The 19,969-nt window shown below is 41.0% G+C and overlaps 1 protein-coding gene across 15 annotated transcripts in view; it reads left to right on the forward strand.

Annotated features, from left to right (window-relative positions):
* ITCH (itchy E3 ubiquitin protein ligase) overlaps positions 1–19,969 on the forward strand; it is a 148,501-nt gene that overhangs the window by 61,937 nt on the left and 66,595 nt on the right. For 14 of the 15 annotated variants that reach the window (NM_001324197.2, NM_001324198.2, NM_001257137.3 and 11 more), the window contains 3 exons: positions 13,265–13,422; positions 14,946–15,135; positions 16,999–17,094. In NM_001324197.2, coding sequence (NP_001311126.1) covers positions 13,265–13,422; positions 14,946–15,135; positions 16,999–17,094 — 444 coding nt within the window. Of the gene's footprint in view, positions 1–4,978; positions 5,129–13,264; positions 13,423–14,945; positions 15,136–16,998; positions 17,095–19,969 lie in introns of those variants that run through there. The other variant, XM_047440536.1, reaches the window with a different exon arrangement.

Below are 19,969 nucleotides of genomic sequence, written 5' to 3' on the forward strand. Positions count from 1 at the left end.
TAACAATATGTTTGCAGGCAGTATGCCTGGTAAAAGTCATCGCCATTCTCCATTCTCGATTAACCACGGACACAATGCACTGCAGAAAGCCGCAGGGACCTCTGCCCAAGAAAGCCTGGGTATTGTCCAAGGTTTCCCCCCACTGAGACAGCCTGAGATATGGCCTCGTGGGAAAGGAAAAACCTTACATCCTCCAGCCCAACACCTGTGAAGGGTCTGTGCTGAGGAGGAGTAGTGAAAGAGGGAGGCCTCTTTGCAGTTGAGATAAGAGGAAGGTTTCTATCTCCTGCTCGTCCCTGGGAATGGAATGTCGGGGTGTAAAGCCAACCATTCGTTCTATTCTGAGATAGGAGAAAACCGCCCCGTGGCTGGAGGTGAGATATGCTGGCAGCAATACTGCTCTGTTACTCTTTGCTACAGTGAGATGTTTGTGTAAAGTGAAACATAAATCTAGCCTCTGTGCACATCCAGACATAGTACCTTTCCTTGAACGTATTCATGATACAGATTCCTTTGCTCACATTTTTCCCTGCTGACCTTCTCCCCACCATCACCCTGTTGCCCTGCCACACTCCCCTCGCCAAGATAGTAAAAATAGTGATCAATAAATACTAAGGGAAATCAGAGACCAGCGCTGGTGTGGGTCCTCACACGTTGAGCGCCGGTCTCCTGGGCCCACTGTTCTTTCTCTGTACTTTGTGTCTGTGTCTTATTTCTTTTCTCAGTCTCTCGTCTCCACCTGACGAGAAATACCCACAGGTATGGAGGGGCAGGCCCCCTTCATCTAAAAGGTGTTGAAAGCCTTGGACTATGTGAATTAACTTAGACTGCTTATTGGTTATCCTGGAAATCGGTAACAGCAGATAAAATTAGGAAAGGAGATGATTCTGCTTTTAAAGTAGTGAGTGGCATGTCTTAACCACAGAGTGCAGTGATTATAAAATTCCATTTGATTCTTTGTTTTTCTCAAATTGCATAAGCAGTGAGTAGGAAGAAGATGATGAACCACAGGAGGAGTAGTCAGAAGGGGAGAAGAACGAGAAAAGTAATGTCACAGACTGTGAGGGAAAATTATCCACAAAGATGGGATGTTACAGTGTCAGATGCTGCAGAGGAGGATAGGTGAAGAAAGTAGAACAAAATACTGATGGTTGTTGAAGCTGTGCTGTTAGGTACATGGGAGTTTATTGTATTAGTCTATCTGCATTTGTCATCTATGGGTTGTTTTTTTTTTGTTTTGTTTTTTTGTTTTTTTAGATGGAGATTCACTCTTTCACCCAGGCTGAAGTGCAGTGGCGCGATCTCAGCTCACTGCAACCTCCATCTCCCGGGTTCAAGCGATTCTCTTGCCTTAGCCTCTTGTGTAGCTGGGACTACTCAAGACAGGCATACACCACCATGCCCGGCTGTTTGTATTTTTAGTAAGAGATGGGGTTTTGCCATATTGGCCAGGCTGGTCTTGAACTCCTGATCTCAAGTGATCTGCCTGCCTTAGCCTCCCAAAGTGCTGGGATTATAGGCATAAGCTGCCATGCCTGGCCGATAGATATATGGAAGTTTTTTGGTTTTTTTTTTTGTTTTTTGAGGTGTTGTCTCACTCTGTCACCCAGGCTGGAGTGCAGTGACACAATTTTGGCTCTCTACAACCTCCACCTCACAGGTTCAAGCAATTCTCCTGGCTCAGCCTCCCGAGTAGCTGGGATTACAGGCACCCGCCACGATGCCCAGCTAATTTTTTGTATTTTTAGTAGAGACGGGGTTTCACCATGTTGGCCACTATGGTCTCATTCTTCTGACTTCGTGATCTGCCTGCCTCAGCCTTCCAAAGTGCTGGGATTACAGGCATGAGCCACTGCACCTGGCCAATATATGAAGGTTTTCATAATAAAAAGTTAAAGACAACTCATCAAGATCTTTAGGAAAATCAAAGTTTATAAAGCTGTTGTGTCTTACCTAATAGGTATCTGCTTTCACATTCTTATGATGAAGAATCATCTATACTAATCTCACGAGATGTAGAATATTAAGGAGCAGTAACTTCTTGCCTAGAAAATAGCAGATACTTTTATTCTTTACTGTGATTAAAATCAATGGGGCCGGTCATGGTAGCTCACACCTGTAATCCCAGCATTTTGGGAGGCCAAGACAGGAGGATCACTTGAGCCTAGGAGTTTGAGACCAGCCTGGGCAATTGAGTGAGACCTCATCTCTACAGAAAACAAAACAAAACAGAAAAATTAAAATTAAAAAACGGTAGTTAGGCCTGGTGGCACGTGCCTGTAGTCCCAGCTGTTGGAGTGGGGAGGGTGCCCAAAGTGGGAGGATCACTTGAGCTGGGGAGATCAGTGAGCTGAGATCGTGCCACTGTACTCAGAGTGATGACAGTTAGACCCTGTGTCAAAAAAAAAGAAAAGCAATAGGACAGGTTTAAAAAATTACATAAATATCTGTAGACTGAATACTATTATGTCTCTTTTGTCTTTTTTTAGTATTATTATATTTAGTAGAAGATTTCTTGAATTCCTGAAAGTTCCCGCATAAAATGTTTTAGTATTTCAGTTTGCTTTGGTCATTTACCTCTTCTTTTACACAATAAACCTGTATCTTTGTATAATAAGTGGGTATGTAAAAGGTTCTGTTATGCCAGTGTGTTGTTGCTTGTTTGTTTTCTGCAAGTCTCTTTCTTAACAGTATTTTCATCAAACCACTTGTACTCTGGACATCTTTAAATTTATTATAAAGGCATTGCTGGATCCCCTACTTAATGCTATTTAATCAATGCTTTTTATCTTCCTAAGTGAATCATTGTCATAAATAATTTGGGGAACAATGTCTTCTGGGTTTCTGAGACTGCCTGACAAATCTTTGAGTATGTCTTTTGTGTTAAGCATAAGTTCCTGTGCATCAGCTTTTATTCCAGAGCACACACACCTTTGAGATGACAGGTTTGAAAAGCATTTTGTAAACTGTCAAAAGCTGTTTAAATGTTACTACACAATAATGAGTAGTAGTCATAGCTGTGACTGCCTTTTCTCCTTTGCTTTTGTTTGCAGATTTCATGACTATAAAACTAAAAGGCAGGGAAGTATATATGTAGTGGACAGGTGCTTCGCATCCTTCCCTCCATCCTCATAGTTATCGTTTAGGAAGTTTACTAATAGCCTTAGGTTATTTTAGCTTTTGATCTTAATTCAAGCACTGTCTGTATCATAAATGTGTTTATTGATCTGTTTTCCCCACAGCATGTCTGGATGTTTTATGTTTCTCAGTGTTGTCTTCTGTTTATTTGTTTATTTTTATGAAGTACCAAGATTATTGGTGCCTGATTTTCAAGATTTTGTCGTTAGATGTGCGTTCTTTTTTTTTGTTTTTAAGTTTATTATTATATTTTAAAGACAGGCTCTCGCTCTGTTGCCCAGGCTGGTCTCAAACTTTTCACCTGAAGCATTTGCCCTATCTCGGCCTCCCGAAGTGTTGGGATTACAGACATGAGCCACCACGCCCAGCACATGTGCCTTCTTGATTGTTACTCTTTGATTTGAACATTTATGACCTGATTGTACTATAATAGCATTTTGGTTGTCTGAGGTTCTCTATCCTGTCCATAACTTATGAACTTATTTATAGGTCAGATGTATATGTATGTTGAAATTAGCAGATGTTTGTAAGATTGTGGAATAGGGGAACAAAGTTATAGTAGCACATAATTAGCAGCTAATTGCTTTTCTTTTTTTACTTTTTTGTTTGAGACCGTGTCTCGTTCTGTTGCCCAGGCTGGAGTGCAGTGGCGTGATCTCAGCTCACTGCAACCTCCACCTCCCGGATTCAAGTGATTCTCCTGCTTCAGCCTTTCAAGTAGCTGGGATTATAGGCATGCACCACCACGCCCAGCTAATTTTTTGTATTTTTAGTAGAGATGAGGTTTCACCATGTTGGCCAGGTTGGTCTCGAACTTCTGACCTCAAGTGATCTGCCCACCTCGGACCTCCCAAAGTGCTGGGATTATAGGTGTGAGCCACCATGCCCAGCCAGCTAATTGCTTTTCAAAGCCAATTGGTGGTGTTGGTTCCACTGACAATTCTGTATACTGTATAGATTTCCGGATTGATTTTCAAAATCTATTTTTAGTTTTAGCCTCACACTTTACTAAAATAACTTAAACTTATTAAAATAAATAAAATAAACCGCCAGTACTATTTTAGTATGGCCCTGCTTCTCAAACTTTAGAGCACATTAGAATCACCTGGTTCATTAGATTTGGGGTGGGACTCAAGATTTGCATTTCTAACACATTTCCATGTGATGCTGATGCTGCTAGACCAGGGTCTACATTTTGAGAACACAATGGTTAGACACACACGTTTTTGCAAATTATAACTATTCTGGGAAATAATAACAGATAGTAAAAACAGACTTCTTATATAATTTTTCATTATATAAGAAGTCTGTTTCCCCAAAGTCCGAGCGTGCAGAATTTGCTAGAACTGTCAATCTGTCTTAATTTCATACCCTTTTGAGAGCTGCTTTGAATCTTGTTTTTTTTGAACTGTTGTTTTTATGTTTATTATTAGAAAATAATACGATTGTTTTAAAAGATGTAAATTAAATAGTGTGTAAAGTAAAATGTATAAAGCCTTAATAGAAGAAATAATATTTGACCTAAGACCTTAAAACAGAGCTATAAACTGTATATGCATGTCTTAGAGGAATTGGAGGGAAGAAGGAATTCTAAATGGAAAGAAGAAAAACAAAGGTGGTGAGAAACACAGGTTGTTTTGTAGGAAATCTTTAATCATAATATTTGGCTAAAGGTGCAGTAATTTCAAGGGAGAAATGGCATTTGGTGATTAGAAAGTAGAATCAGTCAATATATATTTATTTGCCTTTATATGATAGACACTATGCTCAACATGTCTATTCTTCCTTCAGTTAGTCCTTAAACGTTTATGAGTTAGGTACTATTGTCTCATTTTTATAGGTGATGAGAAAACAAGCTTAGAAAGGGAAAGGAACTTGCTTGAGTTAATAGCGTTAAGTGGGACAGTTGAACCTGGAACAGCCTTACCTTCAGAGCCTGAGCTCGTAACTATCATGCTTTACTGCCACCTGAAGTTGGGATGATATACAAGTAAGTGCTTAGCCATTAATAAATGTTATTTTTATTGTTAGATAGGTTGGGACCAGATGGAGGTTTGCAAGTAAAGACTTACGGAATTTTTTTTTTTTAAAGGAAAGGAATGTCTTTTAAAATAATTTGATTTTGTTCTGTTTTGTTTTGTTTTAAGACTGAGTTTTGCTCTGTCGCCCAGATGGGAATGCAGTGACGCGATCTCGGCTCACTGCAACCTCTGCCTCCTGGGTTCAAGCAGTTTTCCTGCCTCAGCCTCCGAGTAGCTGGGATTACATGCGTGCACCACTAGACTTGGCTAATTTTTTGTATTTTTAGTAGAGATGGGGTTTCACCATGTTGGCCAGGCTTGTGTCGAACTCCTGACCTCAGGTGATCTTCTTGGCCTTCTTGGCCTCCCAAAGTGCTGGGATTACAGGCGTGAGTCACCACGCCCAGCCTAAAATATTTGAACAGGAGATTGTATGATCAGAACTCTGTAGGAAAAAATATTTTGACAGTGGTATATAGTTTGGATTATGTGGTGGTGAGTGAAGGTTGAAAGTCCTATATGGAAATTTGTTACAATAATCTATTGAGAGGTAACGAAGGCTAGAACTGAGGCAATGATGGTGGAAGAGTAGAGGGAGAATGTGAAAGTGGGATCAACAGGACTTAGATACTGAGTGTCAAGAGGCACAGGGAGGAAAAATGTAAAATTGCCTGGGAAAGACAGCAGTATCGTTCATAGAACCAAAACCTAAGAAGGAAGGAAGACCATAGGAAGAGAATGTTTAGAGGGACGGGAGGACCTGGCAGGGCATGGTGGCTAACACCTATAATCCCAGTGCTTTTTGGGAGGCCCAAGGGGAAGATTGCCTCAGCCCAGGAGTTTGAGACCAGCCTGAGGGACAAAGCGAGACCCCATCTCTACATAAAATAAAAAATTAGCCAGGTGAGGTAGCATGCTCCTGTAGTCCCAGCTACTCAGGAGGCTAAGGCGGGAGGATCCCTTGAGCCCAGGAGTTCAAAGTTGCAGTGAACTGTGATTGCGCCATTGCACTCCAGCTTGAGTGACAGAGCAAGACTCTTGTCTTTAAAAAAAGGAAGAAAGGGAGGGCCTTGGGATGGGAGAGTTATTCTAGATCTCCTGCATTTAGTTGATAATTTGATACTAGAGGATGGGAGTGAGATAAAGAGTAGAGATTGATTTGGGAATCATTCTCTGAGATAACCTTAGAAATCATGGAATTTGAGATCCTAGGGAAAAATCTGTGGAGAAAGAAAAGGAGAACAAGAACACAATCATAGAGACCTATATTTAGTGGATGGTAGGAAGAGGACAAACCAAAAAAGGGATGATGAGAAGTGGGAGTACAAGATTACAAAAGCACTGTCACAGAAATTAAGAGAAAAATGTTCTTTAAAAGATGGGACATTTGGCCGGTGGCGGTGGCTCACTCCTGTAATCCCAGCACTTTGGGAGGCCAAGGTGGGCGGATCACTTGAGGTTAGGAGTTCAAGACCAGCCTGGCCAACATGGTGAAACCCCATCTCTACTAAAAATACAGAAAAAAGTTAGCTGGGTGTGGTGGCATGCGCCTGTAATTCCAGCTACTCAGGAGGCTGAGGCAGGAGAATTGCTTGAACCCGGGAGGTGGAGATTGCAGTGAGCTGAGATCATGCCACTGCACTCCAGCCTGGGCGACAGAGCAAGATTAGATTCTATGTCAAAAAAAAAAAAAAAAAAAAGATGGGACATTTAACACTATCAAACGCTGCAAAAGAGAATTAAGTCTTAGATTAATAAGCTAGGGAAAACTGGCTGTTTGGAAAAAGAAAAGAAAAATCAGGTTAACGCCTTAGCTTATCCCAAGATGAGAGTAGATTCGATGTTGACTTTTAAATTGATTTTAAAAAATTAAACTAAAACCTCTAGAAGAAAATATGAATAGTTAATTCATTGCTGAATAAATTTAGCTATATAGAAATATAAAACTCTTATAATTTAAAAATGTATTATCAAAAGCAAAGGAAATATTTAACCAATATGAGATGCTCAGTATTCTCAGGTTGTAAAGATCTCTTAAAAATAGGCAAAATTATTCCCTTGTAATAGATAAATGTACAAAAAACATATATATAGTTCATGAAAGAAGAAACTGTAATGACCTGTAATTATATGAAATATTGTTCATCTTTAATTTTAAAAAGCATTAACATTTTTGCTTACCAAATTGGCAAAGATTTTAAAACTTTATGGTGAAATGGGTGTTTTTATTTTGCGGTACATAATTTGAAAATGTCCAGCAAATGGGAGAACAGGTCAATTATTACCTTTAAAACTATTTTTTAGGGCCAGGCACAGTGGCTCATGCCTGTAATCCCAGTACCTTTGGGAGGCCAAGGCAGGTGGATTGCTTGAATCCAGGAGTTCGAGACCAGCCTGGGTGACATGGCGAAACCCTGTCTCTACTAAAAATACAAAAAATAAGTCCAGAATGGTAGCCTGCACCTGTAGTCCCAACTACACAAAAGGCTGAGTCAGGAGAATCTGTGGAACCTGGGAGATGGAGGTTGCAGTGAGCTGAAATCATGCCACTGCGTTCCAGGCTGGGTGACAGAGCGAGAATCTGTCTCAGAAACCAAAAACAAACAAACAAAAAAACACTATTAAAAAGAAACAATTTAGGCCGGGCGCAGTGGCTCATGCCTGTAATCCCAGCACTTTAGGAGGCTGAGGCAGGTGGATCACCTGAAGTCAGGAGTTTGAGACCAGCCTGGCCAACATGGTGAAACCCCGTCTCTACTGAAAATACAAAAATTGGCCGGGCATGGTGGCAGGTGCCTGTATTCCCAGCTACTTGGGAGGCTGAGGCTGGAGAATCGCTTGAACCCGGGAGGCGGAGGTTGCAGTGAGCCGAGATCGTGCCATTGCACTCCACCCTGGGGGACAAGAGCGAGACTTCGTCTCAAAAAAACAAACAAACAAGCAACCAGTATTTTTCAGCTTTCAAAATATTTGCATGTTTTGACTTGGTTGTTCTATTCTGCAGTCTGTCTAAAAGAAATAAGAAATCCAGGCAGGGCATGGTGGCTCACGCCTGTAATCACACTTTGGGAGGCCGAGGTGGGTGGATCACTTGAGCCCAGGAATTTGAGACCACCCTGGTCACCATGGATAAACCCTGTGTCTACAAAAAATACAAAAATTAGCCAGGTGTGGTTGGGTGTGCCTGTGGAATAGGAGGATCACGTGAGCCTGGGGAGGTCAGGGCTGCAGCGAGCAGTGATTGTGCCTATGCACTCCAGCCTGGGCAACAGAGTGAAACAATGTCTCAAAAAAAAAAAAAAAACCCAAAAAGACCAATGAAAAGAAAGCGATTAAATTGTAGTATGTCTATATATAATTTTCTGCAGTCATTCAAAATGATTTTCAGTAATTTGGGGGAAATGCCCAATATGTATTGAGTAACTAACCAAATAAAAACCCACCCAGAATATGAAACCATTATACAGTGTGTGATTGCAGTCACATCCAATGAGAAGGACTGACAAGAGATAGTCCTATGTCTTGGTGGTAATTATCTCCAGGATGTAGGATGGCAGATAATTTTTATTTTATAATTAGAAGTTACTTTTGTTCTTTGAAAGTCTGTTTTAAAAATTAAAATGGGGGCTAGGCGCAGTGGCTCATGCCTATAATCACAGCACTTTGGGAGGCTGAAGTGGGCAGATAGCCTGAACCCTGGAGTTTGAAACTAGCATGGGCAACATGGCAGGACCTTGTCTCTACAAAAACATACAAAAATTAGCTGGGTATGGTGGTGCATGCCTGTATTCCCAGCTACTCAGGAGACTGAGGCGGGAGGATCATATGAGCCTGGGAGGTGAGGCGGGAGGATCATGTGAGTCTGGGAGGCTGAGGCTGTGGTAAACCATGGTTGTGCCACGGCACTCCAGCCTGGGTGACAGAGGAAAACCCTAAGGGAAAAATAAAATAAAATGCACTAACTATATTAACTGCATTTTAAAAAAGAGTATAGTGAAGGAAAGGGGAATGGGAAGACAGCTTGAGGAACAGATAGGATTGAGGAAACATTTTAGGTTTGGGTGCTTGATTATATTTGTAGAGTAAGACAAAAGGTCTATAAGAAAGGAATATAATGAAGATGCAAGAAAGCATTAAAAGATGTTGGGCAGTCCTAGAGGATATAGTCTGCCATCCAGGACATGATAGGCAAATCATCCTTGAAGAAGGGGAGAGAGACTTTTTCAGACATGGGAAACAGATGGAGATGGTTAGTGGCACAGAGAAATTTTAAGGTATGGGAGAAAGTTGAGGGATAGCAGATAATCATTATTTTTAGGGAAGAGGAAGAGTCAGGGATAGCTACAGATTGGTATTAGCAATTTGAGGAGATGGAAAAGGTTTGCAAGGGGCACTGGGGATGGGTCCAGGAGTGGATTAGAGATGTAGAAACTGATTGATTTCTAAACAATATAGATAACCCAATTAAAGTTGTTGAATAATGTCAGCTGTAGCCAATGTTGGCTTGGTCTCTTTGACATAATCCAGTTTTAGGTATTTGAATACTCTATAAATACAAATACATAGACTGAAGCACAATTTTAATTTTTTTCTATCTTTTGCCTAGGTCTGTATGATTGTATAGGACTTAGAGCTTTTTGTCCTACCAAATTATTAATTTCTTTATTCCCATTAATTTTAATACCAGCACACTAATCTCATTAAACCCATGGTTTTACTACTAGGTTGTCAAAGTCATCCGTCATTTATAATTCCCTAGCTCCCAGGAGTCTTGAGCTGTGATTTTTTGGTTTGTTTGTTTTTGGGTTTTTTTTTTTTGAGACAGAGTCTTGCTCTGTTGCCCAGGCTGGAGTGCAGTAGCACAATCTCCGCTTACCACAACCTCAGCCTCTTGGGTTCAAGCGATCCTCCCAGCTCAGCCTCCCGAGTAGCTGGGACTATAGGCGCATGCCACCATACCCAGCTAATTTTTGTATTTTTAGTAGAGATGGGGTTTCGCCATATAAGCCAGGCTAGTCTCAAACTCCTGACCTCAAGTGATCTGTCCACCTTGGCCTCCTTAAGTGCTGGGATTACAGGCGTGAGCCACTGCAGCCGGCCGATTTCTTCTTTTTAATAAGAGGGGAGAAAAGAGTTTTTGTCTTTAATAATTGGTAGTGAAAACCTCTGACCTTTTCTTTACTGGGCCCAGTGGAAAATTTATTAGAATTGTTTGTAGAGCAGCCTGCCCTTTAATATGCTACTTTACTTAGTTTATTTACTCCACTAAAATACACCTGACTTCTCAACTGGAACATTCTCCAGCATTACTTGTTGGTCTGAGAGAATAGTAGTGTAAAAAGTAGATGAGGGGTTAGTTGTGGTGGAAGAATTTCTGGGAGGGGAAGCAGTTGGGCAAGGGTGAAGGAATTGAAACTACTAGGGAAAGTAGCCTATGATGAAGCCCAAGTGAGGCGTGAAGTGAGCTGATGAACTGTAAAGATTCTGGAAGGAGTTGAAGGTTGTGATGAGACTGAATAAAAGATACTGTAGGAGGCAGGTAGAATAAATAGGAAGTTGTAGTTAGAGGGATTTTAGAGTTCAAGATCTAGGAAGAGGAACAATTCTAAGTATCAAGGAAATTTAAGGAGTTGTACGGGTTATCAGATGACTCCATTGAAAAATTGAGATCAAAATGTTATAAGGGTGTACAGCATTGATGTTAAAATTCCCCAAATTTTAATCCCCAGCAACAAATCATAGCATTTTTGGAATCCTGTTTCTGCTGTACCTTTATCATAGTAGGTTTATCTCATGCACTGAATGTTCCTTCTCCCTCACATATCCCTAAAACTTGTCTAGCACTGAATGTGCAATTTAGTATGAATTTTCTAGCTGAAAGATTTTTAGGCATCTTGTAGTCAAGATAATACATTTTAGGATGCATTCTTGGGTCACATAACTCATCAGTAGCAGAGTCAGAGCTAGAAACCTTAATTTCCCAATTTTTGGTCTATTCTACTCATTGTTATCTGTTATTTAAAAAGCAGCAGGAACTCTTCTTTCAAACTAGTTAGGAACGTCTTAAAATAGCATGGAGAGGCAATACGCAGTCTTAAAATGGTTTTGGAAACCTCACTTAGAAGAAGAGAAGCAGTGTCAAAGCTGACTCTTCCTGCATTCAGACCATGTTCTGCAGGTAGTCAACACTAATCAGGTGCTGACTGCCAATTACTGAGGTGTTCCCTCTATTATAAGCATTTGGGGAACCCCCAAAGTAGTGCTTGTCATACCTTACTGTCCACATATATAATCTGGGGATCTTGTTAAAATGCTAGCTCTGATATAGTAGGTCTAGAATAGTTTTGAAGATTGTGCATTTCTGACAAGCTCCTGTATAGTGCTCGTCCGTTTGGTTTAAAGACCACACTTTGAATAGAAAGGCCCTAAAGGATTTCTGTGGTACACAGTTTGAAAATGTCTTTTAAAATATGAGGACTGGTACGCAGTGGCTCGTGCCTGTAATTGTAGCACTTTGGGAGGCCAAGGAGGGAGGATTGCTTGAGGTCAGGAGTTCAAGACCAGCCTGGGCAACATGGCGAAACCCTGTCTCTACGAAATACACAAAAGAATTAGCTGCGCGTGGTGGCAGGTGCCTGTAGTCCTACCTACTCGGGAGGCTGAGGCATGAGAACTGCTAGAACCTGGTAGGTGAAGGTTGCAGTGAGCCGAGATCACACCACTGCACTCCAGCCTGGGCGATGGAATGAGACGCTGTCTCAAAAAAAAAAGGAAAAAGAAAAAAACTATGTGAGGAGAGAGAGATGTTAATTAGCTTGACTGTAGTACTTTTTTTCACTATGTATATCAAAACATCATGTTATACTGTTTTTATTAAAAATAAATCATTGCAATACATGTTTTACAGAAAAAAAATTTAATACATGGTACTGCCTCTCTGTTTCTTTGTTTGTTTGAGACAGGGTCTCACTCTGTCTCCCAGGTTGGAGTGCAGTGGCGCAAGCTCAGCTCACTGCAACCTCCACTTCCCAGACTCAAACAATCCTCCCACCTCAGCCTCCTGAGTAGCTTCGACTACAGGCGTGCCCTGCCATGCCCAGCTACTTTTTAAATTTTTTTGTACAGACAGGGCCTTGTCATGTTGCCCAGGCTGATCTGTCACTCCTGCGCTTAAGTGATCCTTTCACCTCAGCTTCCCAAAGTGCTGCAATTACAAGCGTGAGCCACAGCACCCGGCCTCTGTTAGTTGAATCTATTAGATTTTATTTTGTTCAGGCTTATTCTGAAATTCCTAGGAGTATGGGTTAGTACTGTGTAGTGGTTTGGAGGTAGTACATACCAGAGCCTTGGCTGAGACATCTGCAGACTGGCTACTTATGCCCTTGTTTCTAATCTATGACTAGAGCCCCTCTGGAAGGAAAAGGAATCAGCTATATTTAGCCAACAGTAGCAGTAGCTTTCAGTCTGACATTTCCTGTTAGTGTTCTTCCCTCCTTTCTATCCCTCCAGTTGATGTCATTGCTTTGAAGAAATGACAGCTCCTTTAAAAAAAGTCTGTGGTTACTTCTACTCTAAATCACTAGCTTTGAACATTTTGTGTACCATTGTACTGAGCTGGGGGATATCAGGGCCTAGTCCCTGGGAAATACGTGCACTTTGTTCTCCTAGCATGGGAAAACCAGACCTGCCTCAAACTTGAATTAATAGCCAGTGGAAATCAAGAAACAACAATGGTAAAGTTATCTGTGCTTGTGATAAAATAGTGCCCTAAGGATTTTGAGAACTTGACTTTGTTCCTGTTCATATAGGGCCTTCTGAAGGCTTATTTGAAATATGAACCAGCATACCTAATAGTTCTGAATGGCCACAAGTGTTCCTATGCCCTTGGACAACCCATCACTCTATCTCTAGATGAACTCTGGGGGTTATATAGGATTCTACCCAAAGGCTCTTTATGTATTTAATAAGGCTGACCAGAAATTAAAAAGCTTTTTTGAAGCTCTTAAAAACTTAGAAGTTTTCATCCTCCTGCTGTTTTTTTTCTTAAATTCAAGGAGTATTCATTATTTCCCTCTCCCCCTTCCTTTTCCCCTCTTCTTACCCAGAGTGAGCACAAATGGATCAGATGACCCTGAAGATGCAGGAGCTGGTGAAAATAGGAGAGTCAGTGGGAATAATTCTCCATCACTCTCAAATGGTGGTTTTAAACCTTCTAGACCTCCAAGACCTTCACGACCACCACCACCCACCCCACGTAGACCAGGTTTGTATTCCAGCTCTCAATACTCTTGGAAATAATGTCCTGGTTGGCAATTAATCCTCAGGTAAGTGTCAGGAAATTCTTTTAGGTGAATTTTCTGCGTGTATTTTTACATTTAAGATTTTGGAAAAGAATGATCTTTCTGTAGGTAACCAAAAGTGCCTTTTTCCTAAGTTTTTGTTCAAGGTGACGTTACTGAGGCAGTGCTCTACTGAGAATGAAAATGACATGTGCGTAATATAAAGTATAGGCGGTGCAGATAACATGGCAATAACATTGTACCTTTCTTAAATGGTTTGTAACTATAACATAAATGTATTAAATACTCAAGGATTTGGTTGCTTATTCCTAGTATATCCTTTAAAAAGTTAGTAAACGAAAACCCAACAATGCTAAATGACCCAGATTTTAAATAAAAAGTACACAACAAACAAGCATATTTTAGGTAGTAAAAATGTGAACACCTATAAGACTATCCACTTCTCTGATAGCCAGAACAAATCTTTAATCTTACCTTTTATTGTTTCTCTCTGCTAATATGTGGGCAGGGAATGCAGTGTAGTTAAACCAAATATTACTAGAAAAGTACATTAGTTCTCTGCAAATAATTTTAAGTGAATTTCTATTCAATTATACATCTTCTCCTTTTTATTTTTTTATTTTTTGAGACAGGGTCTCACTCTGTCACCCAGACTGGAATGTGGTGACATCTCAGCTCACTGCCACCTCTACTTCCCAGGCTCAAGTGATTGTCTAGCCTCAGCCTCCCGAGTAGCTGGTACCACAGTCATGAGCCACCAATGCCTGGCTAAATATTTATATTTTTTGTAGAGATGGAGTTTTGCCATGTTGCGCAGGCTGGTCTGGAGCTCCTGAGCTGAAAGTGATCCTTCTGCCTCGGCCTCCCAAAGTGTGGGAGTTACGGGCGTAAGCCACTGCAGCCACATCTTCCCCTTTTATAGATAATTTGATTAATTGTATATTCTGAGTCTTTAAGATGTCTTTATTATAATCTTGGTGACTTCCTCTAGACATTGTTTTGTCCACAAGTATTTCTTAAAGGTGTAATGTATGACTACTAACTATCTGTAAGAATGTTATTTCTTATCAGACCTTCCATATTATAACCAACATCAAAAATTGGTCTGTAATCTGCACGGTTTCACAGGAAAGCAGTTTTAAGGAGCTGGAAAATTAATAAATGAACTTAAAATACCAAGGAATATTAATAATTTCCTATTCTAAAAGTTTTTATTTCCAGTGACATCAGAAGATCAGAGAACCTGTACATGCTTCGTGATTAGTAATGGGACATAGGGGTAGACAGGACCGAAAAAGTAAACAAGCCTATTAACTGGCAGCGTTGGTTATTTCCCATTACTTATTTCTTTAAGTAATTTTCACCTGTGCATCTACATCTTAAGTTTTATATTTATCATCTGCCTTTTATTTTTTACAGTTAAAATTCTATCCTGAATTTTAGAAAATGAAAGATTCTTTTCCTATTTTCCCCAAATCTTTTATAGCATCTGTCAATGGTTCACCATCTGCCACTTCTGAAAGTGATGGGTCTAGTACAGGCTCTCTGCCGCCGACAAATACAAATACAAATACATCTGAAGGAGCAACATCTGGATTAATAATTCCTCTTACTATATCTGGAGGCTCAGGCCCTAGGCCATTAAATCCTGTAACTCAAGCTCCCTTGCCACCTGGGTGAGTAACTTTTTAAATTAACATATGTTGTCTTTAGGATTCTTCATAAGCCTACTTATTAATAAGGAAAATAACAGTAAACAACAGTAAACTCCATTGTTTTGATGACTGTTTTTTAATTTCTTTTTTTTTTGAGATGGAGTGCTCTGTCTCCCAGACTGGAGTGCAGTGGTGTGATCTTGGCTCACTGCGACCTCCGCCCCCTGGGTTCAAGTAATTCTCCTGCCTTAGCCTCCCTAGTAGCTAGGATTACAGGTGTGCACTACCAAGCCCGGCTAATTTTTGTATTTTTAGTAGGGGATTTCACCATGTTGGCCAGGCTGGTCTCGAACTCCTGACCTCAAGTGATCCGACCACCTCAACCTCTGAAAGTGCTGGGATTACAGGCATGAGCACCCAGCCAACTGTTTTTATGTTATTGTAACTGATTTTGGGGGATCTGGAGTCAAAATGAACAAGGAAAACACACCATATTTGAAATCTTCAGGGCAAAGTGGAAAAATATATTTTTTCATCAAAGGACCCTGAAAGTTAACCAAGGCCAATTAATAAAATAATCACCTAATTCCAATTGCCTTTTTCTTTAAGGGGGAAAAAATCCCTTTTTAATATCAAACTATTTTTTTCATCAGAAGATCATTATAGGCTGGGCATGGTGGCTCACGCCTGTAATACCAGCATTTTGGGAGGCCGAGGCGGGCTGATCACCTGAGGTCAGGAGTTCGAGACCAGCCTGGCCAACATGCTGAAACCCCATCTCTACTAAAAATACAAAAAATTAGCTGGGTGTGGTGGCAGGCGCCTGTAATCCCAGCTACTCGGGAGGCTGAGGCAGGAGAATTGCTTGAACCTGGGAGGCAGAGGTTGCATTGAGCCAAGATCTTGCCACTGCACTCCAGCCTGGGCAACAAGAGCAAAACTCCATCTTGGGGAAAAAAGAAAAATCATAGCAAAGTGATAGATAATTCAGAAAACTGAGAAAATTTGTGCTCATAATCCCATTTTAATCTCTCCTGATTATTTTAAGATTATTTTCATAGATTGTTTTTAAGATACTCAGGTGTAATTTTTTCTTGTTTATTTTTTGTTTGTTTGTTTGAGATGAAATCTTGCTCTGTTGCCCAAGCTGTAGTGCAGTGGTGGGATCTTAGCTCTCTGTAACCTCCGTCTTCCGGGTTCAAGTGATTCTCTTGCCTTAGCATCCTGAGTAGCTGGGATTACAGGTACCTGCCACCATGCCCAGCTAATTTTTTTTTTTTGAGATGGAGTCTCACTCTATTGTCCAGGCTGGAGTGCAATGATGCAATCTTGGCTTACTGCAACCACTGCCTCCCAGGTTAAAGTGATTCTCCTGCCTCAGCCTCCTGAGTAGTTGGGACTACAGGTGCCCACCATCATGCCCAGCTAATTTTTGAATTTTCAGTAGAAACGGGGTTTCACCATGTTGGCCAGGCTGGTCTTGAACTCCTGACCTCAAGTAATCCACCCGTCTCAGCCTCCCAAAGTGTTGGGATTACAGGTGAGAGCCACTGCGCCTGGCCATTTCTTTCCACTCAAATCCTGATTATACCCTGATTGAGAGTGACTTCGGTATCCTAGGTAGACGGACCTCAAGCCTCTTCAGGAATATGTTTTCTCCTAGAGCAGATACTTGCATAGAAGAAATTGAATTCACTGTGTGCCACTGCCTGAAGATTACATTTCTTCACTTTATTCCTAAATTGTATTTGTATCATCTTTCTAAACTGATGTCCTTATTTGCCTTAGTTCAATAATGGTCATTTAATGGAAATGCAAAGACAGGATTAAAAAGCCAGGTAACTCATGCAAGTATTTTACCAGCCTTTTAATTTTGTATTTAAGTTGGGAGCAGAGAGTGGACCAGCACGGGCGAGTTTACTATGTAGATCATGTTGAGAAAAGAACAACATGGGATAGACCAGAACCTCTACCTCCTGGGTAAGTATCTAAATTTAAAAAGAATAATTTTATTTAGTCAGAATTGTGGATTACAACTGTATAATCTTCCCTACATTTCTGTTTTACTTTTTCTTGTCAGCCCTTTCTCTGTCCACTTTGTTTTGTGGTAAGTACAAATTAAAAAGAAGAGAGCTAGACAACTGATTAATTCAGAGCCTGATAAACAATTTTTGTTTTCACGCATATTTCTTTCTTCTTTTCTTTATTTTATAGAAACAACATCTCGCTATGTCGCCCAGGCTGGTTTTTAACTCCTGAGCTCAAGCCATCCTCCCGCGTTGGCCTCCCAAAGTGCTGGGATTACAGGCGTGAGCTATCATGCCTGGCCCTATTTTCACTCATTTCTGACCTAAAGATTCCTTAGGTGGGCTGGGCGCAGTGGCTCACGCCTGTAATCCCAGCACTTTGGGAGGGCGAGGTGGGAGGATCACGAGCTCAGGAGATTGAGACCATCCTGGCTAACGTGGTGAAACCCCGTTTCTACTAAAAATACAAAAAAAAAAAAGCCAGGCATGGTGGCGGGCACCTATAGTCCCAGCTACTTGGGAGGCTGAGGCAGGAGAATGGCATGAACCCAGGAGGCGGAGCTTGCAGTGAGCCGAGATCTCGCCACTGCACTCCAGCCTGGGCGACAGAGCAAGACTCTGTCTCAAAAAAAAAAAAAAAATTTCCTTAACTTTTCTTGTCTAAGCTGTTTACCTGTTTACTAATACTGTAGTTTAAGTATTAGTTTCTTCAAGAGTAATTATTTAAATGAATAAGAATTAGAGCCCAGTCATATATTAAAATGAAGTTCTTATTATATTTAAAAAACTATAATAGCAAAATCATTTCAAATTAATTGGGGAAGTTAAGGATATATTAATACATGGTGTTAAGCCTTTAACATTAACATTAACATTACAGTCCAGGCACGGTGGCTCGCGCCTGTAATCCCAGCACCTTGGGAGGCTGAGGTGGGGGGATCATGAGGTCAAGAGATCGAGACCATCCTAGCCAACATGTTGAAACCCCGTCTCTACTAAAAATACAAAAATTAGCTGGGTGTTGTGGCGCGCCTGTAGTCCCAGCTACTCCGGAGGCTGAGGCAGGAGAATGACTTGAACCTGGGAGGTGGAGGTGCAGTGAGCTGAGATTGTGCCACTGTACTCCAGCCTGGCGACAGATCAAGACTCCGTCAAAAAAAAAAAATCATATAAAATAATTGAAGAAAAAATATTTTTTAATCCAGAGGAAAGTCAGTAACAAACATGGAAAAATACTTAACCTTGTTAGTAATCTGAAGGAAATATACCCTGAAAAGGTACTGTTTTAGTTATTAAATTAGCAGATAATATCAAGTGTTGGTGAGGAACTTTACGTTGTTAGTTGCTGCCGGGGCTGGGCACAGTGGCTGATGCCTGAAATCCTAGCACTTTGGGGGGACAAGGTAGGATGGGCGCTTGAGGCCAGGAGTTTGAGACCAGCCTGGGCAGCATAGTGAGACCCCATCACTATAGAAAGAAAAAGAAATTAGCTGGGCATGGTGGCATGTACCTGTAGTCCTAGTTAATCAGGAGTCTGAAGTGGGAGGATCTGTTGAGCCCAGGAGTTCAAGATTACAGTGAGCTGTGATCATGCCACTGTACTCCTGGGCAACAGAGCCAGCCCCTGTCATCCTCCCTGCATCTGCCCACCATAATTATGTATTAATACATACCCTTCATAATCCTCTCTGTGAAATTTATCCTAAAGAAACAATTCAAAGGAAGAAACAGTTTGCTACATTAAGAATATTCATTATTTTATTATTTATATAACATCAGAATATTGGAAACCACCCTAAATAACCAAGCAGGTAGAAATCGTGAAGTCATTCGATTCATTTATGAATTATGTTCATAATCAACACAATCAATTCTTTCAAATGTTTTATTTAGAACATTTGTATCAATGTTTACTTACATATTTTGTACCCATTTAAAATGATAGGAAGTGGGCTGGGCGTGGTGGTTCACGCCTGTAATCCCAGCACTTTGGGAGGCCGAGGTGGGCGGATCACCTGAGGTCGGGAGTTCGAGGGCCGCCTGACCAACATGGAGAAACCCTGTCTCTACTAAAAATACAAAATTAGCCAAGTGTGATGACGCATGCCTGTAATCACAGCTACTCAGGAGGCTGAGGCAGGAGAATCGCTTGAACCTGAGAGGCAGAGGTTGCGGTGAGCCAAGATCGCGCCATTGCACTCCATCCAGTCTGGGCAACAAGAGGGAAACTCTGTCTCCAAAAAAAAAAGATAGGAAGTTAGTTGTGTTCTTGCGAAAAATTGTGTGTGTGTGTTTTGTTTTGTTTTTTCGAGATGGAGACTCACTCTGTTGCCCAGGCTGGAGTGTATTGGCATGATCTCGGCTCACTGCAGCCCCCACCTCATAGGTTCAAGCAGTTCTCCTGCTCAGCGTCCCGCGTAGCTGGGACTACAGATCTGCGCCACCACACCTGGCTAATTTTTTGTATTTTTAGTAGAGATGGGGCTTCACCCTGGTGGCCAGGCTGGTCTTGAACTACTGACCTCAAGTGATCCGCCTGCTTTGGCCTCCCAAAGTGCTAGGATCACAGGTGTGTGAGCCACTGCACCTGGCCAAAAAGTGCTTTTTGATATCTGTCCAAAGCTATATATTTAATTTGTGTCCCTGTTATGATTGAAACAGTAAAAACAACATTGAAAAGAAACTCAAAACTTAATGACTGTTTGAGACTTACTCACTAAATATGTATTGCATTTTAAGAACCTGACTAATGCATCTTATGAACTTTCAAGAAATAAATTTTTAGAAACATTTCTCTTAAGTTCACTTACAAACTATTTAAAAATACA

This window comes from Homo sapiens, chromosome 20 (assembly GCF_000001405.40).
Source record: "Homo sapiens chromosome 20, GRCh38.p14 Primary Assembly".
NCBI classification, from domain to species: domain Eukaryota; kingdom Metazoa; phylum Chordata; class Mammalia; order Primates; family Hominidae; genus Homo; species Homo sapiens.